We start from the raw sequence: 27,687 nt of genomic DNA on the forward strand, positions 1-27,687 counted from the left end.
GGCAGAAGAATTTTTCTTAGTACAGAACAAAATGGAGTCTCCTATGTCTACTTTCTACACAGACACAGCAACAATCTGATTTCTCTATCTTTTCCCCACATTTCCCCCTTTTCTATTCGACAAAACCGCCATCGTCATCATGGCCCGTTCTCAATGAGCTGTTGGGTACACCTCCCAGACGGGGCGGCCGCGGGGCAGAGGGGCTCCTCACTTCCCAGACAGGGCGGCCGGGCAGAGGGGCCCCCCACCTCCCGGACGGGGCGGCGGCCGGGCAGAGGCGCCCCCCCACCTCCCTCCCGGATGGGGCGGCGGCAGGGCGGAGATGCTCCTCACTTCCCAGACGGGGCGGGGCGGCTGCCGGGCGGAGGGGCTCCTCACTTTCCAGATGGGGCGGCTGCCAGGCGGAGGGGCTCCTCACTTCTCAGACGGGGTGGCCGGGCAGAGACGCTCCTCACCTCCCAGACGGGGTCGCGGCCGGGCAGAGGCGCTCCTCACATCCCAGACCGGGCGGCGGGGCAGAGGCGCTTCCCACATCTCAGAAGATGGGCGGCCGGGAAGAGGCGCTCCTCACTTCCCAGACTGGGCAGCCAGGCAGAGGGGCTCCTCACATCCCAGACGATGGGTGGCCAGGCAGAGACGCTCCTCACTTCCCAGACGGGGTGGCGGCCAGGCAGAGGCTGCAATCTCGGCACTTTGGGAGGCCAAGGCAGGCGGCTGGGAGGTGGAGGTTGTAGCGAGCCGAGATCACGCCACTGCACTCCAGCCTGGGCAACACTGAGCACTGAGTGAACGAGACTCCGTCTGCAATCCCGGCACCTCGGGAGGCCGAGGCTGGCAGATCACTCGCGGTTAGGAGCTGGAGACCAGCCTGGCCAACATAGCGAAACCCCGTCTCCACCAAAAAAATACGAAAACCAGTCAGGCGTGGCGGCGCGCGCCTGCAATCCCAGGCGCTCGGCAGGCTGAGGCAGGAGAATCAGGCAGGGAGGTTGCAGTGAGCCGAGATGGCAGCAGTACAGTCCAGCTTCCGCTCGGCATCAGAGGGAGACCGTGGGGAGACGGAGACAGAGAGGGAGGGAGAGGGAGGAGGAGGGGGAGAGGGAGAGGGAGCCCCCTTCCTTTTTCATGTTGTTCATGCTCCTTCTGAAATACTAGTGATGCACTAGTATAGGAGAAATTTAAATCAGAAAACCTTGCAGCAGATCCGGCCAGTTTATTCATTTTCTAGTGTTACATAACAACTAAATAGTTCTGTAGAGCGGAAGTCCAACAAGAAGACTGGGTATCTGCCCAAAGTATCACAAGGCTGAAATAAAGGTGTTGACAAGGCTGAGTTCTCATCCACAGGCTACGAGGAAAATCTGTTTCCAGGCTCATTCTTGGTGTTGCCAGATTTTGGTTCCTTGTGGTTGTAGGACCGAGAGGTCTCTGTTCCATGCTGGCTATCAGTTCGTGGGCCACACTCAACTCCTAGAGGCCACCACATTCCCTGTTACATGGTCCCTTCCATCTTCAATGAAAGAAAAGCATATCAAATTCTTGTACTTCATTTTTGTTGTTGTTTTGAGACAAAATTTTGCTCTGTCTTCCAGATCACGGCTTACTACAACCTCAAACTCCTTGGCTTAAGTGATTCTCCCATCTCAGCCTCCCATCTCAGCTGAGACAACAGGCACACACCTATTTTTTTTTTTTTTTTTTGTAGAGACATGATCTCACTATGTTTCCCAGGCTGGTCTCAAACTCCCGTCCTCAAGAGATCCTCCTGCCTTGGCCTCCAAAAATGCTGGGATTACAGGCATAAGCCACTACACCTAGCCTTCTCCTTGTGCCTTGAATATCTGACTTTTCCTTCTGTAATCAGCCAGAGAAAACTCTCTGCTTTTAAAGGTTCATGTGATTAGGTCAAACCCATTCATGAAATCATCCTATCTTAGAGACAATGGTTTTGGGGCCTTAGTTACATTTCCAAAATCTTTCTACTACAGTACCTAGATTAGTGTTTGATTGAATAACTGGAAAAAAAGTGTATTTATACCAAGGACTGCAATCTTGGGAGACCACCTTAGAATTCTGCAGTAGAAATACTGCAATCTTGGGAGACTACCTTAGAATACAGCCAGTTCTGGGTTTTGCTGGATAATAAATAGGTCACCTAATGAAGTTTGGTTTACTTTCCAGTCCCTGAGACCAGAATAACACTAATACCTGGACCAGGTATTTTCTAACTTGGCCAGTTCTAGACAGAATGGGATTTATAGTTGAGTACTGGGCCTGAAAAAAATACTCAGGTTTGGCTGGGCGTGGTGGCTCATGCCTATAATCCCAGCACTGTGGGAGGCCAAAGCAGGAGGATTGCTTAAGCCTAGGAGTTCAAGACTAGCCTGGGCAACATAGTGAGACCCTGTCTATACAAAAACAGTTTTAAAAATTAGCTGGTCGTGGTGGCTCGAGCCTATATTCCAGCTACTGGGGAGGTTGAGGTGGAAGGATCAATGGGTTGAGCTCGGGAGGTTGAGGCTACAGTAAACCATGATCACGCCACTGTACTCCAGCCTGGGTTATAGAGTGAGATTCTGTCTCAAAAAAAAAAAATCTATCTGCACACACACACACACACACACACACTCTCTCTCTCGCTCTCTCTCACACACACACATTCTCTCTCTCTCTCCCTCTCTCTCCCTCTCTCTCATTAGGCTTCTTTTAAATATAAGTGGTAATAAACCAATTGAAGAAAACAGTAGAGATCGTTTATCTAATAAAGAATAGCTGTTGTATAAGCTAAAGTAATGCTTATTATTATAACAGATAAGCCCTTAACTCTCAGTGAGTTGCTTAATAGTAAGTTCCTTTCTCACTTAAGTAAAGCCTAAATAGTTGGGACAGTGGTGGAGGAGCCATATTACTTTATTTCATGAAATCATTAGAGACTCAACCTAATCTTCTGACATCTTCAATATATGACGTTCCAAGGTCACCATTGTTGTTGACACCTACTTGGTAGTTGCAGGGGGTGGAGGATACGAATGAACATGTGGGAGGTTTTTAATTAGTCTGGCCCAGAAATGGGATATATCACTTTTTCCCACATTCCATTGGCCAGAACTCATGTATATGACCCCATCTGGCAACAAGAGTGCTGGGAAACATGGTCGACTGTGTGCCCATGAAGAAAGAAGATGGGTTTGTTGGACAAGTAAGCAGTCTCTATCACAGGGTCCAGTAATCACACCTCTTTACCTGGCTATTAAAACCATTGATTGTAGAGACAAAGTCAACAGCTTTGAAGAAAATAAACAACCTTGATTAGCTTATAAATAATCAATATCATTTGACTTCCATTGTTCAGTGGCTCCAGCAGTTCCATCATGTGAAGTACCCTCTTCTGCTCTGAGTGGAACTGTGGTAGAGCTACGATGTCAAGACAAAGAAGGGAATCCAGCTCCTGAATACACATGGTTTAAGGATGGCATCCGTTTGCTAGAAAATCCCAGACTTGGCTCCCAAAGCACCAACAGCTCATACACAATGAATACAAAAACTGGAACTCTGGTAAGGTCATTTCAAGATTTGACTTGATAACTGTCTTGCATTTGGATAAAAAAATTATTAGAACTTAAGATGACGTTTAATAGAGAGCTGATACCATTGCTTGCTAAGTGGAGAGAGGCAGGGGCACCAGGAAAGATGGCAGCACTTGTACCACGAAGTGATGGAAAGAGCTACTACAGGACATGGGAACAGAAAACAGAGACTGAGGGAGCTGACTGTGCAAGGACCAGTAAAAGAGCAAAGGGGCAAAGGCTCCTGAAACAAAGGAGCAAAGGCTGTGTGTTTATCTTTTCAGAATTTAAAAAGATTCTAGAATTGATAATCCTATAAATGATACCAATTAAGATTTTCGTAGACCCTAAGCTACTTCCTGGTAGTAACTCTGGCTCTTTAAAGGAAATGTTTATTATTTGCTGCTGCAGTGAACTCACTTGTGACTTAGGAAAGTGCATTAACCCTTTTACCAGGGAGGCCTTCATTTATATAGGTGGTGTTTCCTAGGAATTAGAAATACCTAGACTACTGAGTACTACCATGTGCTATAAACTTTAAAAATTGCGCGGCCGGGCGCAGTGGCTCACGCCTGTAATCCCAGCACTTTGGGAGGCCGAGGTGGGCGGATCACGAGGTCAGGAGATCAAGACCATCCTGGCTAACACGGTGAAACCCCGTCTCTACTAAAAATACAAAAGACTTAGCCGGGCGTGGTGGCGGGCGCCTGTAGTCCCAGCTACTCGGGAGGCTGAGGCAGGAGAATGGCGTGAACCCGGGAGGCGGAGCTTGCAGTGAGCAGAGATCGCGCCACTGCGCTCCAGCCTGGGTGACAGAGCCAGGCTCCGTCTCAAAAAAAAAAAAAAAAAAAAAAAAAAAAAAAAATGCATGCTGCCTTCTTAAGTAACAGTGCCCCAAAGCCCACTAAGCCTGATTCATGATGATGAATCAGGCAGTTATCTACAGCTGTCTTCTGGCCTGGAAAATTACTAAGTGCAGTCTCAATTTACAACATCAGGAAAATGCATGAAAACTTGCTTGGGGATACCCTGACCATGTGAAAATAGTAACTGTAGTCAATCATGGTAGGATTCCTATATCATTAAATATTTCCATGACTGTAGATCAACAACAGTTGACTCTGTGACTTTAGTATCTATTACTTTAGAGTCCAGATATTCTGTTTCCTCCAGTAAAATATTCTTATTGAAAGACTTTCTAGGAATACTGATGACAATCTATAAGCAAGCTCTGTGAAGCTAATTACATTTAAAAATAAAAAGTATTTTACTTTTTCATCTTTGATTATAGGAATAGAAGTGGAAGTTTAAAAAAGGGTCATTAAGCTTGAAGCTTTTTAAAAAAAATTCAGTCAATGTAATATTCTATGTCAGTTTAAAATTGTCTGCCTTCCAGCAACGCAGAATCACTATGACAGCGATTATCAAAAAAAAAAACTTAAAGGCGTGGTGATAATAACAATTTTAATAATTTTTAAAAATGTTTTTGAGACAGAGTCTTGCTCTATTGCCCCGGCTGGAGTGCATTGACGCAGTCTTGGCTCACTGCAACCTCTGCCTCCTAGGTTCAAGTAATTCTCCTGCCTCAGCCTCCAGAGTAGCTGGGACTACAGGCACCTGCCACCATGCCTAGCAAATTTTTGTATTTTTAGTAGAGACGGGGTTTCTCCATGTTGGCCAGGCTGGTCTTGAACTCCTGACCTCAAGTGATCGCTCGCCTGGGCCTCCAAAAGTGCTGGGATTACAGCTGTGAGCCACCGTACCCAGCCAATTTTAATGAATTTTGAAAGGAGGATATAATGCTTCATTCCTTTCATCTACAAGTGCACAGTAACATTTACAAACAGATCTTCTGATAAACAAGAAAGCAAATTGCTAAAGTGGCTGAATAATAAAGCCTATTGGATGCAGTTACTTCTTAAGCTCTGGCCTCTCAGCAGTCAGCAGGCGCAGTCAGCAGGTCTGAGTGATTTTACACTGAGCAACTGGGCAGAAAAACCTGCTGTCACACTTTGCTATATTTACTTTTCAAATTTATTTTTTCTCAGGGCAGTTGGTAAAAGCCCCAAGGCAAGTCTGAAAGGATACAGATTCACTTTCCTCAGCTAACCTCAACCCTTGAAATAGCTTGTGATGTCAAAGGAATGCACCTGGATTGAACTAAGATAGGTTCTTATGTGAGAAATGAACAACAAAGACTCCAGTGTATGGAAGCCAATGACTTCCTTTTAATTACCAGCTATAATATGCTGGAAGATCATTTTGGGTTTTAGTCTAACATATTATTTATATGTAACCTTGGCCATGAGTTCATGGTGAATATTCTAAAAGCATTCTGGCTTTGAGGAGAGTGACAGATGATTCCATAGAGTGGAAAAAAAGAAAAACAGGAAAACTTTCTCTCCCTCCATCTAGGAGGATCTAAGACAATGACCCTTCAAGGTGACCAGGATTACACTCCCTTTCTTCCCTCCCTCCAGCCCTTTCTTCTTTCCTTCCTTCCTTTCTCCCTCTCTCCCTCCCTCTCTTCCTTCCTTTCTCCCTCCCTCCCTCCCTCTCTTCTTTCTTTTCTCCTCTTCTTCCTTTTTGTCTGCCTTCATTCCTTCCAAATATCCTCCAAGGGGATAAAAACTACTGATAAAAATAACGAAGTCTATTATATCAATCTTAGCTTTTGGTTGCTTTGACAGGGATGGGAAGGAGCAAGGGCTGGCTTTTCTTTTCAAATTTAAAAAAATTCTAGAGTTGATAGAATCGACAATCCTATAAACCGATACCAATTAAGATTTTCCTAGGCCCTAAGCTACTTCCTGGTAGTAACTGGCTCTTTAAAGGAAGTGTTTATTGTTGGCTGCTGCAGTGAACTCGCTTGTGACTTAGGAAAGTGCATTAACCCTTTTACCAGGGAGGCCTGCCCTTCATTTATAAATGATGTTTCCTAGGAATTAGAAATACCTACACTACTTAATACTACCATGTGTTATGAACTTTAAAAAACACTCATTGCCTTCCTAACAGTACTGCTTTCATGGTTAAAAAAAAAAAAAGGAACTTCTCTGTATGTATTTTATCTTTGTTCTTCTCGTCAAATTAAGCAAAAGTCTAGCTTAAACTCCTTGAAGTCATGGCAGATTTTTAAATTCATAGTAAAGACAGAAAGTCCCAAATTTTTAAAAAGGAAAGACAAACTTAATGCTAAAATTTGAGGGACAGGGTTATTTAAAAAGTCTACTTATAGATCTATGGCTTAAAAAAATATATTTTTGCATCCACAAATAGCAATTTAATACTGTTTCCAAACTGGACACTGGAGAATATTCCTGTGAAGCCCGCAATTCTGTTGGATATCGCAGGTGTCCTGGGAAACGAATGCAAGTAGGTAAGCATGAAATATTGGGAGGAACAAATGGTTTGCAATTCGACTGTGAAGTACAGCAGTTGGGGGTACAAGGAGCAAGGAGCAGGAAATGTCTGAGTGACTTGAAGAATAAACAGGAGAGAATGACTAAAATTAACTTGATATGATGTGTTGCAAAGAAGCAAAGATGCTGTTTTTAAGCCATCTCCCAAATAAGCCAAAAATACTTAGTATTGTATTTAACAACTTTTTTTAGTTTTTTAAATAATCGTTTTTAAAATACATTCTTCTAAGTAGTCTTTCTCTCAAATAAAAGCTAAGTATCTTGTAGTCTAAATTGTTGAAGGTCCAGAAGTTTGAATTTCTGATATTTTTAAAATTCAGGAATGTATATCATTGATATTATTCACCAAATTAATTCAGGTGTTGACATTTATAGTCAACGTAGCACTTATTTAAGTAATCAGAAAGTATCCCTTTCAATGCTGCTTTGAAATTATCATTTAAAAAAATTCATCACAACATGTTTAAAAATTAAGGCATTGTTTTCTTTGTTTCCTTTATTCACATACGTCCCCATGGGTTTTTTTTGTTGTTGTTTTGTTTTTGTTTTTGCTTTTTTGAGACAGGGTCTTTGTCTGTTGCCCAGGCTGGAGTGCAGTGTCGTGATCTCGGCTCACTGCAACCTCTGCCTCCCAGGTTCATGCAATTCTCCTGCCTCAGCCTCCCAAGTAGCTGGGATTACAGGCATGCCCACCGCACCCAGCTAATTTTGGTATTTTTAGTAGAGACAGGGTTTCACCGTGTTGGTCAGGCTGCTCTCGAACTCCTGACCTCAGGTGATCCGCCCACCTTGGCCTCCCAAAGTGCTGGGATTACAGGTGTGAGCCACCGTACCCGGCCTGTCCTCATGGTTTTTACCATTACCTTGTCCTACCAGCACTATTTCTGTTTATTTTTCCTTCCATTTAAATGGTCCTGTTTAATTTAAACATCTACCTTTGCCTTCTCTTAAGGAATCATATCCAGGAAGTCATGGTTTTGATGTATTAGTTACTTTTTCTTAGCACACAATAAATACATAACGAATAAAATTTAAATGTTTGTTTCTCCACTAGGACCACTTTAATTTGAACATGATTCTCACATATCTACTCTAAGTACAAGTTAGCTTAAAAGTTAAAATTAGTTTGTTTAACGGTCATCCATTGATCCGAGGTGTTTTGTGTCCTTGGTTGGGACTTACATCTTTTGAAATACATACAAATTCATAAATTCATTTTTTTGGTTTTCTTTGTGAATTATAACTATATTCACATGTAACCAAAATTAGAATATGTTAACTGTCCTAAAGAAATTTTTTCAAAGTGCAGCAAGTAAAGCATGGATTTGTTGGTTGTTTATGGCTGCCTCACTATAAAACTCCAGCAGACTCCACCCACACTGGGCCTTTCAGCAGTTTAGTTCCTTTTCTTTCAGTAAAAAAAATGGTACCTTCCTTTTATAAAGACTTTTTTTTCAAAAAAAAAAAAACACAAAATATTTTCATACTTAATGTTACATTTTCTCTTCACTGAGGCATAATATGGCTGTATGACTTGCTCAACATCACAGAAAATGGTGAACAGGATGTAAGAAGTTAACTTACTCCTTATCTATTACTCTTCTGTCTCCCATTTCACTGAAGAAAAATAACATAAAATTCATACTACAACTTAGCACTTACAGAACAAGACAATTTTTTGTCAGTAGTTTCTTTTAGGGTGAATCCTTCCTTCATAGATGTCAAATTCATTGACAAACTACAAGACAGTTTTTTTTTTTTGTCAGATAATAGCCCTTACTTTGAATGCTTCATAGATGTCAGATTTAATGACTACTACAAAGTAAATAGAAGGTACACTTTGGTTCTCAGGAATTTCACTTACTGATTTGACTTTGCCTAAGATTATGATTACTGTAGATTTTTTTCTCTCTCTGCTCTTTTTAATCCAAGTAAATAAAAAGCTGAATCTTATTGACCTCTCAATACCCAAGCAAACTGAGTTTATACCAAGCAATAATTAATGTTTTCTACTCTGGTCAAATTACTTAACCTTTCAAAAGACTTATCAAGTTTTCTTTTTTAAAAAAATCAATTAATATTTTGGAGGTATTTAAGAAAATTAATAACACACTTGGCATTAGGAAAGAATTTCGAGACCAGAAGTTTTTATGATAAGCAGATTCACTTAAACAGTATCTCTAAAAAGATCATTTCCAAAATGTACATTGCTTTAAAATATTTAAATTATTTTTGAGAAAATGCTATGTAATATTTTCTCTAGGTTATTTAATCATAGGCTAATTAAAACTTGCTTTGTAAAATGGGAACTCTTTGAAGAATTGCTCCTTTAATAAATACATGGGAAGTATCTAAATGGCAGAAGAGTGTGGCTCATAAAATCCTCATGGACAAGATGGAGAAATATGGTCCAAACAATATTTTGGTGGATCCACACACAGTTGAATCCCATGCTCAGAGAATGTTAATAAATTGTGTTGTATGACAGGAGGTGTCTGCTAGCCTGTTACATAGTTGTTTCCTAAACAAATCCATGTTCATCATGTTATTAATGACTTGAATGAGAGTATTTTTAATAAAATTCTCAATTTGCAGAAATGTTAAGCTTGGAAGGTTAATAATGTAATTATTAGGCAACAGAATCAATCTGAGAAGAAGAAAAAAACTTCACAGTAGTTATTTCCAAACTTGGGTTCAAAAAATCCAGTTGCATTACATTAGAGGACGGATGCCTTAACAGTCATAGGAAAAGCCTCAGAGAATTTAATTCATTTTTCATAAATGGGATGACAGTTTAGTTGCATATATGTATATGACTGTGTATGTGTGTATACACCCATATACATATAATTGTATATCTACACCCATATAATTCAAGAAGGAACGTATTTCTTACACTTAGTTTTACAGAATAACAATGACATGTGCTTTTTTTTAAGAGACAGTCTTGCTCTGTCACCCAGACTGGAGAGAAGTAGTGCAATCATAGTTCACTATAATCTGAAACTCCTAGGCTCAAGTGATCCTCCAACCTCAGCCTCCTGAGTAGCTGGGACTCCAGGAATGCACCACCATACCCGGATAATTTTTTTAATTTTTTTATTTTTTAGAGATGGATTCTTGCTATGTTGCCTAGGCTGGTCTCAAATTCCTAGCCTCAAGCAGTCCTCCCACCTCAGCCTCCTGAGTAGCTGGGATTACAGGCATGAGTCAACATGCCTGGCACCATGTGTTTTCTTTGACGTTGAGTTTTTCTTTATTTGTGAAATTGACACAGTTGATGATGTAGGAGAATTTTAAGTAAGACGTGGGGTAGGGAGTGGCAGTAGAATACTTGAACTCATTGAACTTCAAAGATTGCTTCCAGTCTTTTAATCCTGTGAATTATTACACATCTCCAAATGAATGCAAAAGAATACATTTTATTTTTTAATCTGAGAAGTTTTTAAAATTTAGTATTTTTCCAAAGCTTAAGTTCTGTTAATATTTTTAATCAATTTTGAACCATGTCTTAGAAGTGAGTTAGTTGAACAGGCTTCACAATCGTTAAAGTATGCTTTATGATATAGCTGCAAAGGGGATCTTTTTTTGAACCTTTTCAATTTAATGACTGCATCTGTCCGTGTAATCCACATATATTTATGCGTAATTTATTTTACATTCCAGATGATCTCAACATAAGTGGCATCATAGCAGCCGTAGTAGTTGTGGCCTTAGTGATTTCCGTTTGTGGCCTTGGTGTATGCTATGCTCAGAGGAAAGGCTACTTTTCAAGTAAGTGAATTTCACCCTTCTTTGGCAGATAACTTTCTATGGCTATGGAGTTTATTTATGAGATACTGTTTCTCCTAGGAAGTTGTTTTTTTGTTTGTTTGTTTGTTTTTCAGACAGAGTCTTGCTCTGTTGCCCAGGCTGGAGTGCAGTGGTGGCAAAATCTCCACTCAATACAACCTCCACCTCCCAGGTTCAAGTGATTCTCATGTCTCAGCCTCCCAAATAGCTGGGATTGCAAGTGTGCACCAACACACCCAGCTCATCTTTGTATTTTTAGTACAGATGGGGTTTCGCTATGTTGGCCAGGCTGGTCTCGAACTCCTGGCCTCAAGTGATCTGCCTGCCTTGGCCTTCCAAAGTGCTGGGATTACAGGTGTGAGCTATTGTGCCCGGCCCTCTCCTAGCAAGTTTTAACAAACTCTGGAGAATATTGTTCATTTATTTTCTGCTATAGAAAATGTTCAGGATGACATGCAGGTGGCTTATGAAACACCTTGGCAAACCTAGGGAGAAAAGGCAGAACTGCCTAGTTGCACATTCCAGGGAGCACCACAGAATATGCAAGAGGCATCCTTGGAGTGGTGCAGTGCAGCGAGACAGAGATATTCAATGTGAACGGATATTTATAGTATCTTTGCATGTTTTTAAGATTTTTTTTTGTTTGTTTTTTTGAGACGGAGTCTCACTGTGTCGCCCAGGCTGGAGTGCAGTAGCGCAATTTCGGCTCACTGCAAGCTCCACCTCCCAGGTTCACACCATTCTCCTGCCTCAGCCTCCCGAGTAGCTGGGACTACAGGCTCCCGCCACCACGCCCGGCTAATTTTTGTATTTTTAGTAGAGACGGGGTTTCATCGTGTTAGCCGGGATGGTCTCAATCTCCTGACCTCCTGATCCACCCACCTTGGCCTCCCAAAGTGCTGGGATAACAGGTGTGAGCCACCGCGCCCAGACAAGATATTTTTAAGTTAGGAATTGTATATCTCAAGATATAAGTTGATTTCAAATTCTTTAAGAAATTTCATTGAAATAAATAAGTGAAATATTTCATCAGTGTAGAACAGTGAAATGTTGAATGTTAAATTTAGGACAACTGTATTTAGAAGAGAATTGTTCAGCTGGGTGTGGTGGCTCATGCCTGTCATCCTACCACTTTGGGAGTCTGAGGCGGGAGGATTACTTGAGGTCAGGAGTTCGAGACCAGCCTGGCCAACATGGTGAAACCCCGTCTCTACTAAAAATACAAAAATTAGCCAGGAGTGGTGACATGCACCTGTAGTCCCAGCTACTGAGGAGGCTGAAGCAGAAGGATCACTTGAACCTGGGAGGTGGAGGTTGCAGTGAGCCAAGATCATGCCACTCCACTCCAGCCTGGGTGACAGAGCAAGACTCCATCTCAAAAAAACAACAAAAAAAGAGAATTGTTCAGTCAAAAATAGAAACCTATTGTATTTATGAGAGCTACTTCTGTACACAGTTTTGAATTCTTCAAATTTAGACCTCTTGTAACTTCACACCTCCATTTGATAATGCAATAGGTTTGATGTAAATGGGTGGGATTTAAAAATGTTTTATTCTCTTAATGCATTTCTTCACTCCCTCTTTAATATTATTGGAGAGCTCAGAAGCTGCAGCATTCTATCAGGGCCACTGGCAATAGTGTGTAAAATAAAATTCTTAATTGAATTATAAATTTATAGCATATACAAGTTCTAGACCCATTGTTTTACAGCGAACATTAATTTCGGAATTTAGATTTTTAAAACAATTTTTTTTTTTTGAGACAGGGTCTCACTCTGTCACCCATGCCTGGTGCAGTGGTGTGATCAAGGCTCACTGCAGCCTTGACTTTCCGGGCTCAAGCAGTCCTCCCACCTCAGCCTTCTCAAGTAGCTGGGACTACAGGCACATACCACCACACCTGGCTAATTTTCTTTTATTTTTTGTGGAGACAGGTTCTTGCTCTGTTGTTCAGGCTGGTATTGAACTCCTGGGATCAAGGAATCTTCCCATCCCAACCTCCCAAAATGCTAGGATTACAGGTGTGAGCCACCACTCTTGGCCTTTAAAAATATATTTTATGCCAAAAATAAACTTAAATATAAAATGTGTTCCTAATAATACCTACAACTAGGTATTATGTCTCATAAAATGTTTCCGTGGACATGGATTCAAAGAGATGCCCTATAATTAAGAATAACTGGGCTGGGTGTGGTGGCTCACACTTGCATTCCCAACACTTTGGGAGGCCGAGGCAGGAGGATCACTTGAGTCCAGGACTTCACGACCAGCCTGGGAAACATAGGGAGACCCTTTCTTTACAAAAAATAAAAAATAAGCCAGGCATCGTTGCACACACCTTTAGTTCCAGCTACTCAGGAGGCTAAAGTAGGAGGATCGCTTGAGCGCAGAAGGTCGAGGCTGCAGTGAGTTGTAATCTCACCACTGCACTCCAAGCTGGATAACAGAGCAAGACACTGACCAAACAAACAAACAAAAAGAGCGGCTCTGTCAATTAATACTTGTTCAGTGCTTCAATTTAGCCCACTTTAATGTAACTTTATGAATTGAATCCAGCTGTGGCCCCCTGCTGGTCATCAGTGAAAGTACAGACAAATAAGATAACTCTTCCAAAACTCTTGTCATCTTTATCTATAGCCTAAAATAATACTGGTCTGAGTTTTTTTAATGAGGAGTTAGTAAAAAAATTTTCCTAAAATATTGAATTAATTAAAAGTTGACTTGAATATTAGGAGTTCGTTACCTAAGAATGTTACTCTGATTTTTCATCTAGCAGAAAAATCTATCCAAGAGAAGCATATTCTTGAATATATGTTTAGGACAGAGGTTGGCAGACTACTATCTGTGGACCAAATCTGCCCTCCCCGCCTATTTTTCTATGGCCTATGAACAAAAATGGCTTTACAGATGAACATTTACAATCTATTTGATGATAGGGCCCGCTGACTTTGAACCCCAATTAAGAGAAATGTTATCTTCCCCAAAAGCATTCCATTTCTCTAACTAGTAGGCCTGTTTTTCAAGACTTTTATTATTATTGTTATTATTATTATTATATTTTTATTTTATCCATAAAAATGTTTGGAAATTTGTTTGCTCTCTTGTTACTTAAGTACCTATATAGTATCCTCTTGGCCCCAAAGCCTAAAATGGTTGCTGTATGGCTCTTTACCAAAAAAGTTTGCCAACTCTTAATTTAGAAGGTATAAACGTCAGCAAGTGAAGATTAAAATTAATAAAAATAAATTAAACCCAAACTCATTTTTATATGAATCTGTATCATACCATAATAACCCTTGCATTAATGATATATACTTTTTCTTTTGTAGAAGAAACCTCCTTCCAGTAAGTATACTTTCCTACAATGCATGTCTTTCTCCTATGTCAACTAATTTTCTATTAATCATCTGTTTAAAGTCAAAAGAGAGAAGTTGGGTTATTTGTGTAGGTTTACTCTCACAAGAAGTTACTCAAGTTTATCAAGAAATACATCTGTATTAGGCTGTTCTTGCATTGCTGTAAGAAAATACCCGAGACTGGGTAGTTTATTGTAAAAAGAGGTTTAATTGGCTCACGGTTCTGCAAGCTGTACAATCCTGGCACCAACACTGCTTGGCTTTTGGGGAGGCCTCAGGAAGCTTTTTACTCATGGCTGAAGGCAAAGCGGGAGCAGGCACGTCACATGGCAAAAGCAGGAGCAAGGTTGGGGAGGTGCCACATACTTTTAAACAACCAGATTTCAAGAAAACTCAGTCACTATTCTGAGGACAGCATCAAGGGGGCGGTACTAAACCATTCATGAGAAATCCGCCCCCATGATTTAATCGGCTCCAACAAACCCCACCTCCAACATTGGGGATTACAATTCAACATAAGATTTGGGCAAGGCAAATATCCAGACTCTATCAACATCCCACTTCACACTTCATACCTACTTGTAAATGGTAGTACAGAGAGAATGATGATTACCCAGCCTACTTGTAAATGGTAGTACAGAGAGAATGATGATTACCCAGACAAGAAATATGGTCACTAATTTGATTTCATAGGCATTTGTATAAACTAACTTAAAAAAAATTTACTGTATTTTGCTAAATTGAAAATTTTCAAATAAAATTTTAGTTAACAGTCATTTTTTTATATTAATTGAATACCAATTTTGTGCCTAACACTGTTCTAAGGAATGGGGATACAGCAGTGAACAAAACAGGCCAAAAACCCCACAAAACTCTGCCTTATGGAGCTTACATTCTAGTAGAGAAAGGCAGAAAATAAACAGGTAATACTATATAGTATATCAGATAGGGCCATTATGGAGAAAAATAAAACAAATAAGAGAATATACAATACAAAGGGTAGGAGTAGAGATTCTAATTTCAAATAGGGTGGTCAGAAAGGATCTCACTAAGTGATTTTTGAGAAAGGCCTGAAGAGGGTGAGGAAGCAAGTTGTGCAAATAACCATGAGAAGAGCGTTCAGGCAGAGGGGAGAGAGCAAATTGAAAGATCCTGAGGCCAGGCAAGCCTAGAATATCTGAGGGATGTCAGCGGGACCAGGGTGGCTGGAACAGAATGAGAGAAACAGAGGAGATGAGCGTACAAAAGTAGCGGTGGGGGCAGATTGTAAGGAGTCCCTTTTAGGCAGTCGTGAGGAGTCTGGCTTTGGTCTGAGTAAGATAGAAAGTCACTGGAGGGCTTTAAGCAGAGGAGTGGTGTCATTTTAATTTTTCAAAACTCACACTGGCTTCTCTGTTAAGAATAAACTATGAGATGACAAAAGGTGGAAGCAGGGAGATCAGTTAGCAAACTACCACACTAAGTGAGGCAAGAGAAAATGGTGGCTGGTGCCAAAGCAGTGTTGGAGATGCTGAGAAGTGACAGTGTTTTGGATATAATGTTTTAATAACTTGCTGATCTGTTGGATGTGGGCTGTGAGAGAAGCAGAGAAATCGAAGATGGCTTCAAGGTTATGAGAAGGATGGAATTACCATTTACGGAAGTGTGGAAGATTTTAAGAGGAGAGAGTTTGGGAGTGGTGATGGGAATAAGTGGAGAGGTTGGAGTGTTTGGAATTTTAATATTTGATATGCTTATTTGATTCCAAGTAGAGGTTATCAGTAACTGAATATTCAAAATCTAGAGTTTGGGGAAATAACTGGAAATGGAATTGTAGGAGTCATTGGTACATGAAATATGGGTGAGCTCCCCAACGCCCTGTAGTTTGTGTGTACTTGTTTTATGACTGTCCTTCTTGTATGTACAGATCTGGCAGACCTAACTTTGGCTCTATGGGCGTAGAGAGAAGATGGATGACAAACTATCTGAGGCTATGGCAGCTGGGAGTGGAGAAGATATACTGAAGCCATGGCTTCAGACAGTTTGTCATCTCCTAATTCCTTTGAAGAATCATCTGCCATTGACTTCCTGTTCCCAGATTTCTGGCTCAATCCTGGTCTCTCAGTCTCGTAAGATCCTAATACAAGTCTAGGTTGAAGTTCAGATTATCAAGAATTAGCAGTAATAAAGCCAGTGAGTTCAGAAGGGCAGGGTAGCTGGAAAGTGTTGCTACTTCCCACCCCTAACCTCCAGGTGATTGTGAGGACTTCTGCTTTTATTGAGTGACACGAAAAGTAATTGGAAGGTTTTGAGCAGAGGGGAGACATCATCTTACGTAAGTGGGAAGGGTGACATAGCTGCAGTGAGGGAGGTTATTCTTCTATCAGTATCTCTAGCAAATCAAGTAGTAATCTGGTGGGGAATAACTTCATTCCTAGACATATGCCCTCACATTCATTAAATCTGTGGCCTTCAAAATATGTTCAATAACGAAATGGATGACTGGAACACTAGTCACCATGTAAAACTTTTTCCACGGAAAAATAAATAAATTTTGAGATTATAATAGTCAAGCTTTCAAAATATTAAATGTTAATATATTAAATTAAAAGTTAGTAAGTCTCTGGTTTGTGTATTCCACAAAAATCTTTAGTATACTAGCCACAAGCTACATTTACGTGCACAAGGCTTCACACTGATGTTTTGTTGCATGACTTTCTCTGTGAATATTGTCTGTAAATATAAGAAATTCAGTAAGAATTGTCTTTTTTTCTACCTAAGATATATGTTCATGTTCTTGCTGAGAAAATGTATGGAAGTAAAATTAACTAAAAGAGCATATATGTTCCAGATTGGAAGTGATAATGTAGTAAATATTGTCTTTTATATTCCACAAACAGGAAGAGTAATTCTTCATCTAAAGCCACGACAATGAGTGAAAATGTGAGTATCTTTAAAGCATATTTATAGAATGAATATGTTTGGGGAATAGGGCAGGGAAATGAAGTAATTATATGGACTTTGTGAATTTTCACTTTTAATACACTTTGCACCAGTGTCTATCACTGGTGTTTAAAAGGAGCTAAGTAGATGTTAGCTTCTGTACCCTGTCTAGGATGGCATGATAAAGATACCTGGCATTTCCAATAGCAGAAGTGATCTTTAATCATATCATTATTTGTTTCATGGTATTTTCTATAATTAGTCTGCCTTCTTAGTATCACTAGGTCTGGCATTATCAGCTCCCTTTGACAGATGAGTAAATTAAAACACAGGTTCTTACAGGGTAACAGTGGTGGAGCTGGGACCCAGGCTCTTTTCTTCCCTGTAGCTTGACCAAGCAGAGTGGTTCCAGCAGAGCTGTGGTTCTAGGACTCACCTTTGGTTATGTGAAGCACTTGGAACATTTTAGGGCTATGCAATGTCTTAGTCATTTGGGCTGCTATAACAAAAATACCATACACTGGGTAATTTACAAACAACAAATTTATTTTCAGTTTTGGAGGCCAGGAAGTCCACAATCAAGGCACCAGTAGACTCAATGTCTAGTGAGAGCCTGTTCCTCATAGATGGAGACTTCCTGCTGTGTCCTCACATAGTAGCAGGGGCAAAACAAGCACCCTCTGGCCTCTTTGGTACGGGCACTAGCTCCATTCATGAAGGTCCTGCCCTCATCACCTAATCACCTCCTAAAGGCCCCACCTCTTAATAGTATTGCATTAGGGATTAGGTTTCAACATATGAATTTTGGGTGACACAAACATTCAGACCAGAGCACAGAATATCCTGTTATAATTGAAAGGAACATTTCAGAAATGTTTGAAAAGACGCAGTAATTACCTAACTCAGAGGTTTTAAGGAACATAATTTAGACACTTGGACCCTTTGTAAACACTACATTGATGCAGCAAATACCATTGTTACTCAGATTTTGTAGCTCTTTGGATGGATATTCAGCCTTCTGGATGATTTTCTCAGGAATATAGTGGGTTGGGGCAGGGGGAGTTCCTATGGTTTTAGAGGCCTAAGTCGTTTCTTGAGAAACAAAGCATGGGTTCTCAGAAATGCTTTACTCATCTATGGCAGGAATTCTGTCAGATTTCTTCTCAGTAGAGTCTGGGGGGTGGGGTGGGGCGGGGGAGCCTGGACATCAGTATTTTAAATGCTTACCCACTTTTCTGTAAAAATTTGATTTTCAAAAACTGTTCCAGAAACTATTACAGAATTCACCTTATTTTGTGGTTTACTACACTGAAAGCTTACTGATGTTTAATTAGGGGACAAGAAACTTTGTTCCCACCATTTTTGTGCCTACAATTTATGGAAAGTCTTTGTTTCTGCAATTTACAGAAAGTACTCTTGGAGTGTGGAATCGAATACTCCCATCCCTCCAAACAGTATGAAGCACATTGTGGCTAAACTGAATGAACAAAAGCCATTTATTTTTTCTTTGCCTTCCTCTCAGTTGCCCTTATCAACTAACAGCTAGAGTCCCCTTCAGTTCTCTTGTGCCCTACCACAGGGTTTCTCAACCTCAGCACTACTGATATTTTGGGCCACATCATTCTTTGGTGTAAGGTGCTGTCCTGTACATCATAGGATGTGTAGCCACAGGCCTGGCCTCCAACACCAGATGCCGGGGCATCCTCCTAACAGGATTTGTCTGCCTCTGCCTTCCAGTCCTACCTCTTTACTCTCTAGGCAAAGCTTCAGAGTACCTTGTCTGCTAGGAGTTAGTTAGTTAATTCCCCATAAAACAAGTTTAATTAAATATATACTGGTTTTGGCCAGGTGCAGTGGCTCACGCCTGTAATCCCAGCACTTTGGAAGGCCGCGGCGGGCGGATCACGAGGTCAGGAGTTCTAGACCAGTCTGGCCAATATGGTGAAACCCCATCTCTACTAAAATACAAAAATTAGCTGGGCATGGTGGCATGTGCCTGCAGTTCCAGCTGCTTGGGAGACAGGAGAATCACTTGAACCCGGGAGGCGGAGGTTGCAGTGAGCTGAGATCACGCCACTGCAGTCCAGCCTGGGTAACAGAGCAAGATTCCATCTCAAAAAATAAAATAAATAAATAAATAAATACTGGTTTTTACCTGTAGAATTCTTACAATAAATATAGCTTGATATTCATAAGATTTATGTTTCTTTAAATATGAATTCATATATTTAAACCTGTTTTTTCTTTCTTTTCCTAGGATTTCAAGCACACAAAATCCTTTATAATTTAAAGACTCCACTTTAGAGATACACCAAAGCCACCGTTGTTACACAAGTTATTAAACTATTATAAAACTCTGCTTTGTCCGACATTTGCAAAGAGGTACACGAGGAAATGGAATTGGTATTTCATTTTAATTTTCATGACTACTAACTCACCTGAACTTGCTATTTTAAACAAATAGTTCTGTCGACACCTAAAATATAATCTGGCTTCTTGTGTCTGGACTAAGTTAAAAGAATTAAAATACTTTGTAATGTCCTGGGCTTTGGGAAATGTTAACCACGTCCTAACTTCTAGAGAACGTTACTAAAATATAACATACTGATTGTGAAGTCAATCCACAGGTCATGAAAATATAAATCAGACTCTGCACGAGAGTCTGATTTAGGGGGTCCAACAAATACTCTGACAGATGCAAAAGGAACCTCTGGTCTCATTTCTGCCAGAATCCTCTTTTCTCCCCTAATATCATCCTTATTCTGATGCTCGTTCATCACTAACACACCCACAGAAAGGAGGAAGCGGGATGGGTCTTATGCCCAAGGATTTGCACTTTGTGTTTACTTCCATTCCTGGGAACTAAAAGCAACATCAAAAGAAATGCCTAATGGCTGGAGCCCACAGGTGTGCACCACAGGATTTGCCTGGTGTGTGTCACTGATTTCTTCATTAAACGTAATTTAGATGGTCAAACACAAACCCAAGTGGCTTATTTCACCCCTACTGCTGCTTGCCACTGCTTCCTTCTTGTAAGATTTCTTTGAAGAGGATCAGTGACTTTGACATCAGAACTCACCACTGGAGCCTACACAAGTTTGCAGATACCTTTCCCTGCAGGAGTGGTGACTTCACATCTTTCTGTCTCTAAAAATTGTGCAGTGACATTCCGGGCCAAGTCCCTTAGTCAGGGGTTGACAATTCTGCTTTTGGACAAGGAGGGATGTGGAGGGAAGAAGTAATAGTCTACCAGGAAAATGAGACGAAAAAGCTCAGTATGACTCCCTGCATCTGGTACCCCTCTTGAAACACAGTGGGCACATGAGCAATGGCTCAAACGAAAAGTGGATCTAATGTGGGTTTCTCAACCGATGAACCACAAAAGCTTCCAGCTACTATTACAATGTGAAAATTCCAATGATCCGTTTACCAGAGCAATTAGACTATGTTAAAAATTCATATCATTTGTAACTTCTTTTAATTACTGAATTGATATTAAAAACAAAATATGGCTAGGGCATGTCCTATTCTTCTGGGCAAATGTGGATGAAAAGGTCACTTGCTACCTTTGACAACTATGAACATGATGGTTAATCTTCTTTCTTTTTTTTTTTTTTTTTTTGAGACGGAGTCTCACTCTGTCGCCCAGGCTGGAGTACAGTGGCACAATCTTGGCTCACTGCAACCTCCGCCTCCCCTCCGCCTCCCAGATTCAAGCACTTCTCCTGCCTCAGCCTCCCAAGTAGCTGAGATTATAGGCGTGTACCACCACACCTGGCTAATTTTTGTATTTTAGTAGAGAAGGGTTTCACCATGTTGGCCAGGCTGGTCTCAAACCTCTGACCTCAAATGATCCACCCCCATCAGCCTCCCAAAGTGCTGGGATTATAGGCATGAGCCACTGCACTGGGCAGGTTAATCTTCTTTCAAAAGAGTCTGCTCTTTCTACCCAATTGGCGAAGCAAATCCCCAGGATTCACCGAACAAATGGATTAAGCACCCACTGAGTGCCTAGCATGTGCCTGGACACCAGGCCACCGGGAAGATGCTCCCCCTTTGACTTGTCTATGACATGCTATGTCTCTCACCAGATCCCTTCCTGGAGGTCGGGCTTCTGTAACATGGCTCTGCCCCCAAAATAAAATTTTCACCACGAGTCAGGGATCGGCAAACATTTTCTGTAAAGAGCCAGAAAGTAGATATTTTAAGTCATAAGGTCCCTGTTAACAACTACTTGACTCTGCCATTGTAGCACAAAGGCAGCCACAGACAAAACAAGCAAGTAGTCATGTCTGTGTTCCAATAAGACTTTATTTACAAAAACAGCAGGCACAGACAAGATTTGGCCCACAGGCATAGATTCCCAACTCATGGTGGTGAAGTACAGAAAAAAACACCTGTCTACAAGCTTTTGTAAGAAATCAGGCTAAATGTTACCTATGTTTTGGTTGGAAGATTTCTTTGGTTTGAGGAATGCTTTCCTCTTGCATTGGCATGCCAAGAGGATAGATGACTCTGAAAGACGCCTCTTCAGACATACCTGTCATCACACAAGATCAACTTCTTCAGTTTAAATGACACAAATCCATATTGTGGAAGGAAAATATGTAGTGCCTTAGCTTCACTAATAGTTGTAAAACTTCTTTTTAAGACATCAAAGGCTAGAGGATTCATTTTATGCAGTGCGAACATCTAATAACACTCTCTGTGTCAAATATATATTGTACATTACCTTAAACTATTGTAATAGCTAGGTAAAAATCCTTGTATAAAAGAATGTTTTCCCCCACACAAAGGGCAGAGTATTGAGCACTAATTTCCTATTAAAAGTATATATATGTATCTGTGGGTCACTGGTGTCCAGACTTGTATTTGCATTTGTGTTTACTTGAGGAACTTGAACACTAACAACTGGTAAAATCCCATTGTAATTCTTACAGCATTTTGACTTTATTTTCCTGCAGTGAATTGTGTTGTGTAAAGATTAGGGCTTTAAAATCTTATTAGCAAGCTTTGTTTTGTTTTAATTATTGTTGCTGTTGTAACTAGATTTAATTTATTTTTAGTTGGAGGTTTGACCTAAGTCTGGACCAATTGATTGCTTTTCAATACAACTTTGCAAAGAACTTCCTTTTTCCACAGGTGGCTTTGTTCGATTAAAGTCTACACTAATAAAAATAGCTGAACTTGTTAAACTTTTTAGCCCCATATAACAGTGCAGGGAAAGAGTCATCCACCTATTGTTATTCATAAAACCCAGGAAACTACACCCTCTTACCTTCTGTAGCTACAAGGCTAGCTGCTGGTTAGCTGCTTAAGATTAGAATGTCATCATCTCTGGATGGCTGCCAACTTCTCAAATGCTGAGAAAAATGCTCTGAAAATAAAAAGCAACAACTATTTATTGAACACTTTATATATGTCAGAGGTGGGGATGGATGGGGGTGAGGATGTAGAAAATCTCATTCATCTCAGCGATACTATAAAGTGGGTAATGTCATCATTTTGCAGATGAGGAAACAAGAGTTACTGACTTGTCAAGTTCATGGAGCTGAGGAGTGAGGAATCAGGGTCTGTGGGGACCCAGATCAGTCTGATCCAGGATGTTTCACACACCATGTTTTTCTCTACCCCCAGGCTGACTTCCTTTTAAATTCTTTGCTGTTATTGTTGAGATGGGGTTTTGCTCTGTCACCCAGGCTGGAGTTCAGTGCCGCGATCACGGCTTACTGCAGCTTTGACTTTCCAGGCTCAAGTGATTCCCCCAGCTCAGCCTCCCAAATAGGTGACACCACAGGTGTGTGCCATGCCCAGTTAATTATTTATTATATTTTTGTAGAAGGGGGGTCTTGCCACGTCGCCAGGCTGGTCTCAAACTCCTTGACTCAAGCGCTCCTCCCTCTTCGGCCTCCGAAACTGCTGGCATTACTATAGGCCTAAGCCCGGTCCTTTTATTTATCTATTTATTTTTAAATTTTATGTATTTATTTATTTTTTGAGACGGAGTCTCGCTCTGTCGTCAGGCTGGAGTGCAGTGGCGCGATCTCAGCTCATTGCAACCTCAAGGGTTCAAGCAATTCTCCTGCCTCAGCCTCCCGAGTAGCTGGGACTATAGGCGCGCTCCACCATGCTTAGCTAATTTTTGTGGTTTTAGTAGAGATGGGGTTTCACCAAGTTGGCTAGGATGGTCTCGATCTCTTGACCTTGTGATCTGCCCACCTCGGCCTCCCAAAGTGCTGGGATTACAGGCGTGAGCCACTGTGCCCAGCCGAGCCCAGTCCTTTTAAATTCTTGTGCGCTTCTCTGTCACACTTTCCTTTCACCCCCAGTTATCTCTGGCCCCTCATCGCCTTCCTGGTCTCACTGCCAGACAAAATACCTTTTTGTCATGCCTTTCCCCTAACCCAGTCTAAATATCACAGTGGGCCATTTCATTCTCTTCCACTCTCCTCTCATTCTCCGAAGATGCCCAAATCTCTAATATTATTTTGAAAAATATTGAGGCTAACCAGGATGAATGCATTTAAATCCTATCACCACCACTGCCCCCTCCTATCTCTAAATCTCTCCATCTTTAGCCTCCCATTTATTCACTGACTACATCATTCATTGTCTTATTTGATTCTTCAGTCACTACTTTCATCCTTTTATCTCAGGCTTTCAATAGCATCTCAACGTTTATCTCCGGGAACTTCCACCCTCCAGTACCCTCTCAGTCACAACGTCAATCTCTCCAGTTCCAAAGGCTCCTTTTCCCTCTAATCTCTTCTTCCCCCCACCCCATCCATCAATTTGCCCCATTTCTCTCGAACCATGTCAACTCCCTTCTCCTTTCCCCTGGCTAAACCCTTTCACTCTTCCTTTACCTAGTCTATCACAAAATCTAAACTCCTCAGCCTGGAATTCAAGGTTTCCCACCCATCACAGACATATCCCATCATATTGCCACAGCCTACGTATTCAGCTATATGTTCTACTAACTTCTTCGGTTGCCTCATGTACCCATTAAACTGAGCTATGGTCATTTTATCTTAACCCATTTCCCCCTCCTCTATACACTTACCTATAACACCCTATCCACCTGGAATGTTAATTCTCCTAACCACAAGACTTGTATATTCTATCTACTTATTAAGAGACAGGTCAAATTCCACCCCCTCTAGGACAGCCTTCTCTCATTTCCCCTGCTGGAAACTCTTTCTTCTCTGAATTTCCGTAACCCTTGATTCACTTACTGGTTTCTACCCCATAATAGGAATGAACATGTTTGACACCCCTACCAATCTGGAAGCATTTTGAGAAAAGAACCATGTTTTACACAACTTTATAAGACCCAAAGAATTTAACAGCATCTAACGTGGTTGGTATTTAATGTGATAAATGAATTTTTAAAAATCAAAGGAACACTTGTCAAAGAGCAAATTTAGTATTTAACTATAAAATTTCCCCATAAATTTAGTTCAAATATTAATAAATGATTGTATTCTGAAATATGTAATTATAATAGTTATCTAATATGTGAAGTTACAAAGTTGTTCCATGAATGAAGGCTGGATGGAAACTATTTTTCTCATACCAGTCTTTTAGCAATTAGACATGAATTTCCACACAGTTCTTAAGAAGCTCTTCAAATATTTTTCCAACTTTCAAATTTTAAAATTTAATTTTTCATCTTTTGTTTTCTCTTTTTGGAACACTTTTAGTGTTAACAGTTGGTTAAGAAATTCAAGGTAAACTAAAAGCTTTCATTTGTGATACTTTCAATATTTGTTTACTTTTCAATATATGCTAAGTTTTTACTTGACCAGGTTTGAAAAAATGTACTAATTAAGACAAACTGGAGTGTAAAATGTCTTTTTACTTTCCACCAAGAAAATGCTCTCAAAACAAGTTAAGTGTGTGTCAACAAAGGACCTGTTTACCTTCTTTGAGATTGAAAGCAGGCTGTTTCAAAGCTCCATTTCATGATCCTTTATTTTCAACTTCAAGTGTGCTATTTATAAAGTTTCTTAAAGATGGTATAAAAATAGAGATTTACCAAGAGCTATAGTTGGAGTCCTAAAGTTGCTTATGGTTTTTTTTTTTTTTTTTGAAATGCAGTCTCGCTCTGTCACCCAGGCTGGAGTGCCGTGGCGCAAACTTGGTTCACTGCAGCCTCCTGGGTTCACGTAAGTCTCGTGCCTCAGCCTCCTGAGTAGCTAGGATTACCGGCACCGGCCAACATGCCTGGCTAATTTTTGTATTTTTAGTAGAGACAGGGTTTCACCATGTTGGCCAGGCTGATCTTGAACTCCTGACCTCAGTGATCTGCCTACCTCGGCCTCCCAAAGTGCTGGGATTACAGGTGTGAGCCACTGCGCCCAGCCAACTTCTTAATTTCTCATTCTCAAACTTTCTTTCCAAATATTTACTATGGAATTTAACTACTGCTGAATTGAAGTTACTGTAGGTTAAGAAACATTTTCTTTCTAAATTTTAGGATAATATATACCAAAGAGAATGAATAAAAGTTTTACAAAGACGCTATGTTCATATAACAGGATGTTAATTGGGACTTTCTCTGTTGCCTAAAGACTAGAAACAAGTATCTCACTTTCTAGGGAAAATGAAGGCTGGACGCAGTGGCTCACACCTGTAATCCCAGCACTTTGGGAGGCTGAGGTGGGAGGATCATTGGAATCTAGAAGTTCGAGAACAGCATGGGTGACGTAGTGAGACTGTCTCAAAAAACTGAAAAACTAGCTGGGTGTGGTGACATGCACCTGTAGTCCCAGCTACTCGGGAGGCTGAGACAGGAGGATCACTTGAGCCCAGAAGGTTGAGGCTGCAGTGAGCTGTGATCACACCACTGCAACTCTAGCCTGGGCAAAAGAGTGACACCTTGTTTCAAGAAAAGAAAAGAAAAAAAAAAAGAAAAGAAAAAATACATTGGGTATAAATACCCCTTCACTGTTGATGAAGAGACAGCCACCCTGAAATAATTACTCCAGTCCACCACTACTCTTTACCCTTCACCTCATCACACAGTCCATATAAGCTGAAGTGTGTATGGATGGATTTGGGATGGGAAGGAACGAGGGGATGGAAAGAGACAGAGAATGAGTTTGCCAAAGTCATAAGGAGTACTATTCCCCCAGGTCACCCCCAAAGGAAGTAAAGAGAATATTTAAGACATCACTTGCAAAAACTGAAGGCACCTGCCAAGGAAATAGGAGCTATTTGAGCCAGTGGAAAGGGAGCTGGAAAAAAATATCAAGAAGAGGGGGAGGGCCAGGCGTGGTAGTGCATGCCTGTAGCCTGTAGCCACTCTGGAGGCTGAACTGGGGGGATTGCTTAAGCCCAGGAGTTCAAGGCTGCAGTGAGCTATGATCAAGCCACTGCCTGGGCAACAGAACAAAAGCCCATCTCTTAAAAAAAAGGAGAGCGAAAAAAATTTGCCAGGCATGGTGGCGGGTGCCTGTAGTCCCAGCTACTCGGGAGGCTGAGGCAGGAGAATGGCGTGAACCCGGGTGGTGGAGCTTGCAGTGAGCCGAGATCGCGCCACTGCACTCCAGCCTGGGCAACAGAGCAAGACTCCATCTCAAAAAAAAAAAAAAAGAGCAAAGTAGGGGAGGATGGTGAAATATACCTGTTTTCCCAAGATTTCTTAGGTCAAGGACATGAGTGTCCCGTGGATCCAGTAGGCACCATTGGAAGTAGTTGGCGTTCAGCCTTCTTGCCAGTGTCTCACCAGACCAAACATTGGAAACAGTGTGTACTTACCATTCCAGTGGGAGCTAAGGGGTGTTTGGAAGGGAGTTGGCATGAACCTGCCATTTAAGGGAATGGAATCTGTACAACTGGGAAGACCTCAGCCACAGGGCCCCGCAAGAACTCATACATGCACCTTACTAGAGAGCTAGCATTTGGAAGGCTGCTACACCAGGAGCAGCAACAATCAGAGAAATAGTAAAAAACAAACAAAAAAGCCTACACTAAATGTTAAATAAGTAAAAATTGCCTAGCCTTCCTGGGTTACTATTAAAGGTAGTGCTATGTAAGTAACAGACACATGTCCCTTTCTAGTTCCCCTTACCTCTCCTCAACTCAAATTTCCTCTTCGTATAAGGACACCAGTCAGATAGGATTAAGACCTACCCTAAAGGTCTCATTTTAACTTAAAGTCCCTGTCTCCAAAGTCACATTATGAGGTATTGGAGGTTGGGCTTCAATTCAATCAAAGTATGAATTTTGGGGAAACACAATTCTTCATAACACCAGGCAAGGGGTAAAATAGCCATTTTAAATAACCACAAGGCTGAGATCATTTGTCATAATCACATAAGGTGGTTCTGAATGGTTAAGTGCAGGACAAGGAGTGACCTGGCAGGCTGAAGTGCTGCACAAAGGCCAGCATTTGCAGGGTTGGAGCAGCCTAGCCAAAAAGAGGAAGGGGCTCTGAGGAAGACGAAGCCTTGGTTAAGATCTGTGACTCACAGCACCACGAGAGGTTCAGTTGGAAAACAGGGAGTGCTTGCCTGACCAAAATTTAAATGTAAATGCACAGCCCTGTAATATAGGGCACGAGAATAGGATGCTTCTTACAGTCAAACAGAACCCTGTTTCAATAATGAACAAAGAGACTGGGAC

General features: G+C 41.1%; 1 protein-coding gene and 1 long non-coding RNA gene across 5 annotated transcripts in view; one reads left to right on the top strand and one right to left on the bottom strand.

Annotated features, from left to right (window-relative positions):
* The window catches only part of JAM2 (junctional adhesion molecule 2), a 78,305-nt gene extending 56,067 nt beyond the window's left edge, over positions 1-22,238 (top strand). For 2 of the 4 annotated variants that reach the window (NM_021219.4, NM_001270407.2), the window contains 6 exons: positions 3,353-3,555; positions 6,846-6,945; positions 10,655-10,762; positions 14,110-14,125; positions 17,016-17,058; positions 19,316-22,238. In NM_021219.4, the coding sequence (NP_067042.1) occupies positions 3,353-3,555; positions 6,846-6,945; positions 10,655-10,762; positions 14,110-14,125; positions 17,016-17,058; positions 19,316-19,348 (503 nt within the window). In that variant the 3' untranslated portion in view covers positions 19,349-22,238. Of the gene's footprint in view, positions 1-3,352; positions 3,556-6,845; positions 6,946-10,654; positions 10,763-14,109; positions 14,126-17,015; positions 17,059-18,906; positions 19,251-19,315 lie in introns of those variants that run through there. The other 2 variants (NR_072999.2, NM_001270408.2) reach the window with 2 other exon arrangements.
* On the bottom strand, positions 1,194-25,177 carry LOC124905002 (uncharacterized). Its single transcript, XR_007067827.1, has 2 exons — positions 22,337-25,177; positions 1,194-1,510 (listed from the first exon to the last, which is right to left on the bottom strand). It is a non-coding gene; the product is annotated as an uncharacterized LOC124905002 (long non-coding RNA).
* Positions 25,178-27,687: the final 2,510 nt, after the last annotated feature.

Source organism: Homo sapiens, chromosome 21 (assembly GCF_000001405.40).
Source record: "Homo sapiens chromosome 21, GRCh38.p14 Primary Assembly".
Lineage (NCBI taxonomy): Eukaryota > Metazoa > Chordata > Mammalia > Primates > Hominidae > Homo > Homo sapiens.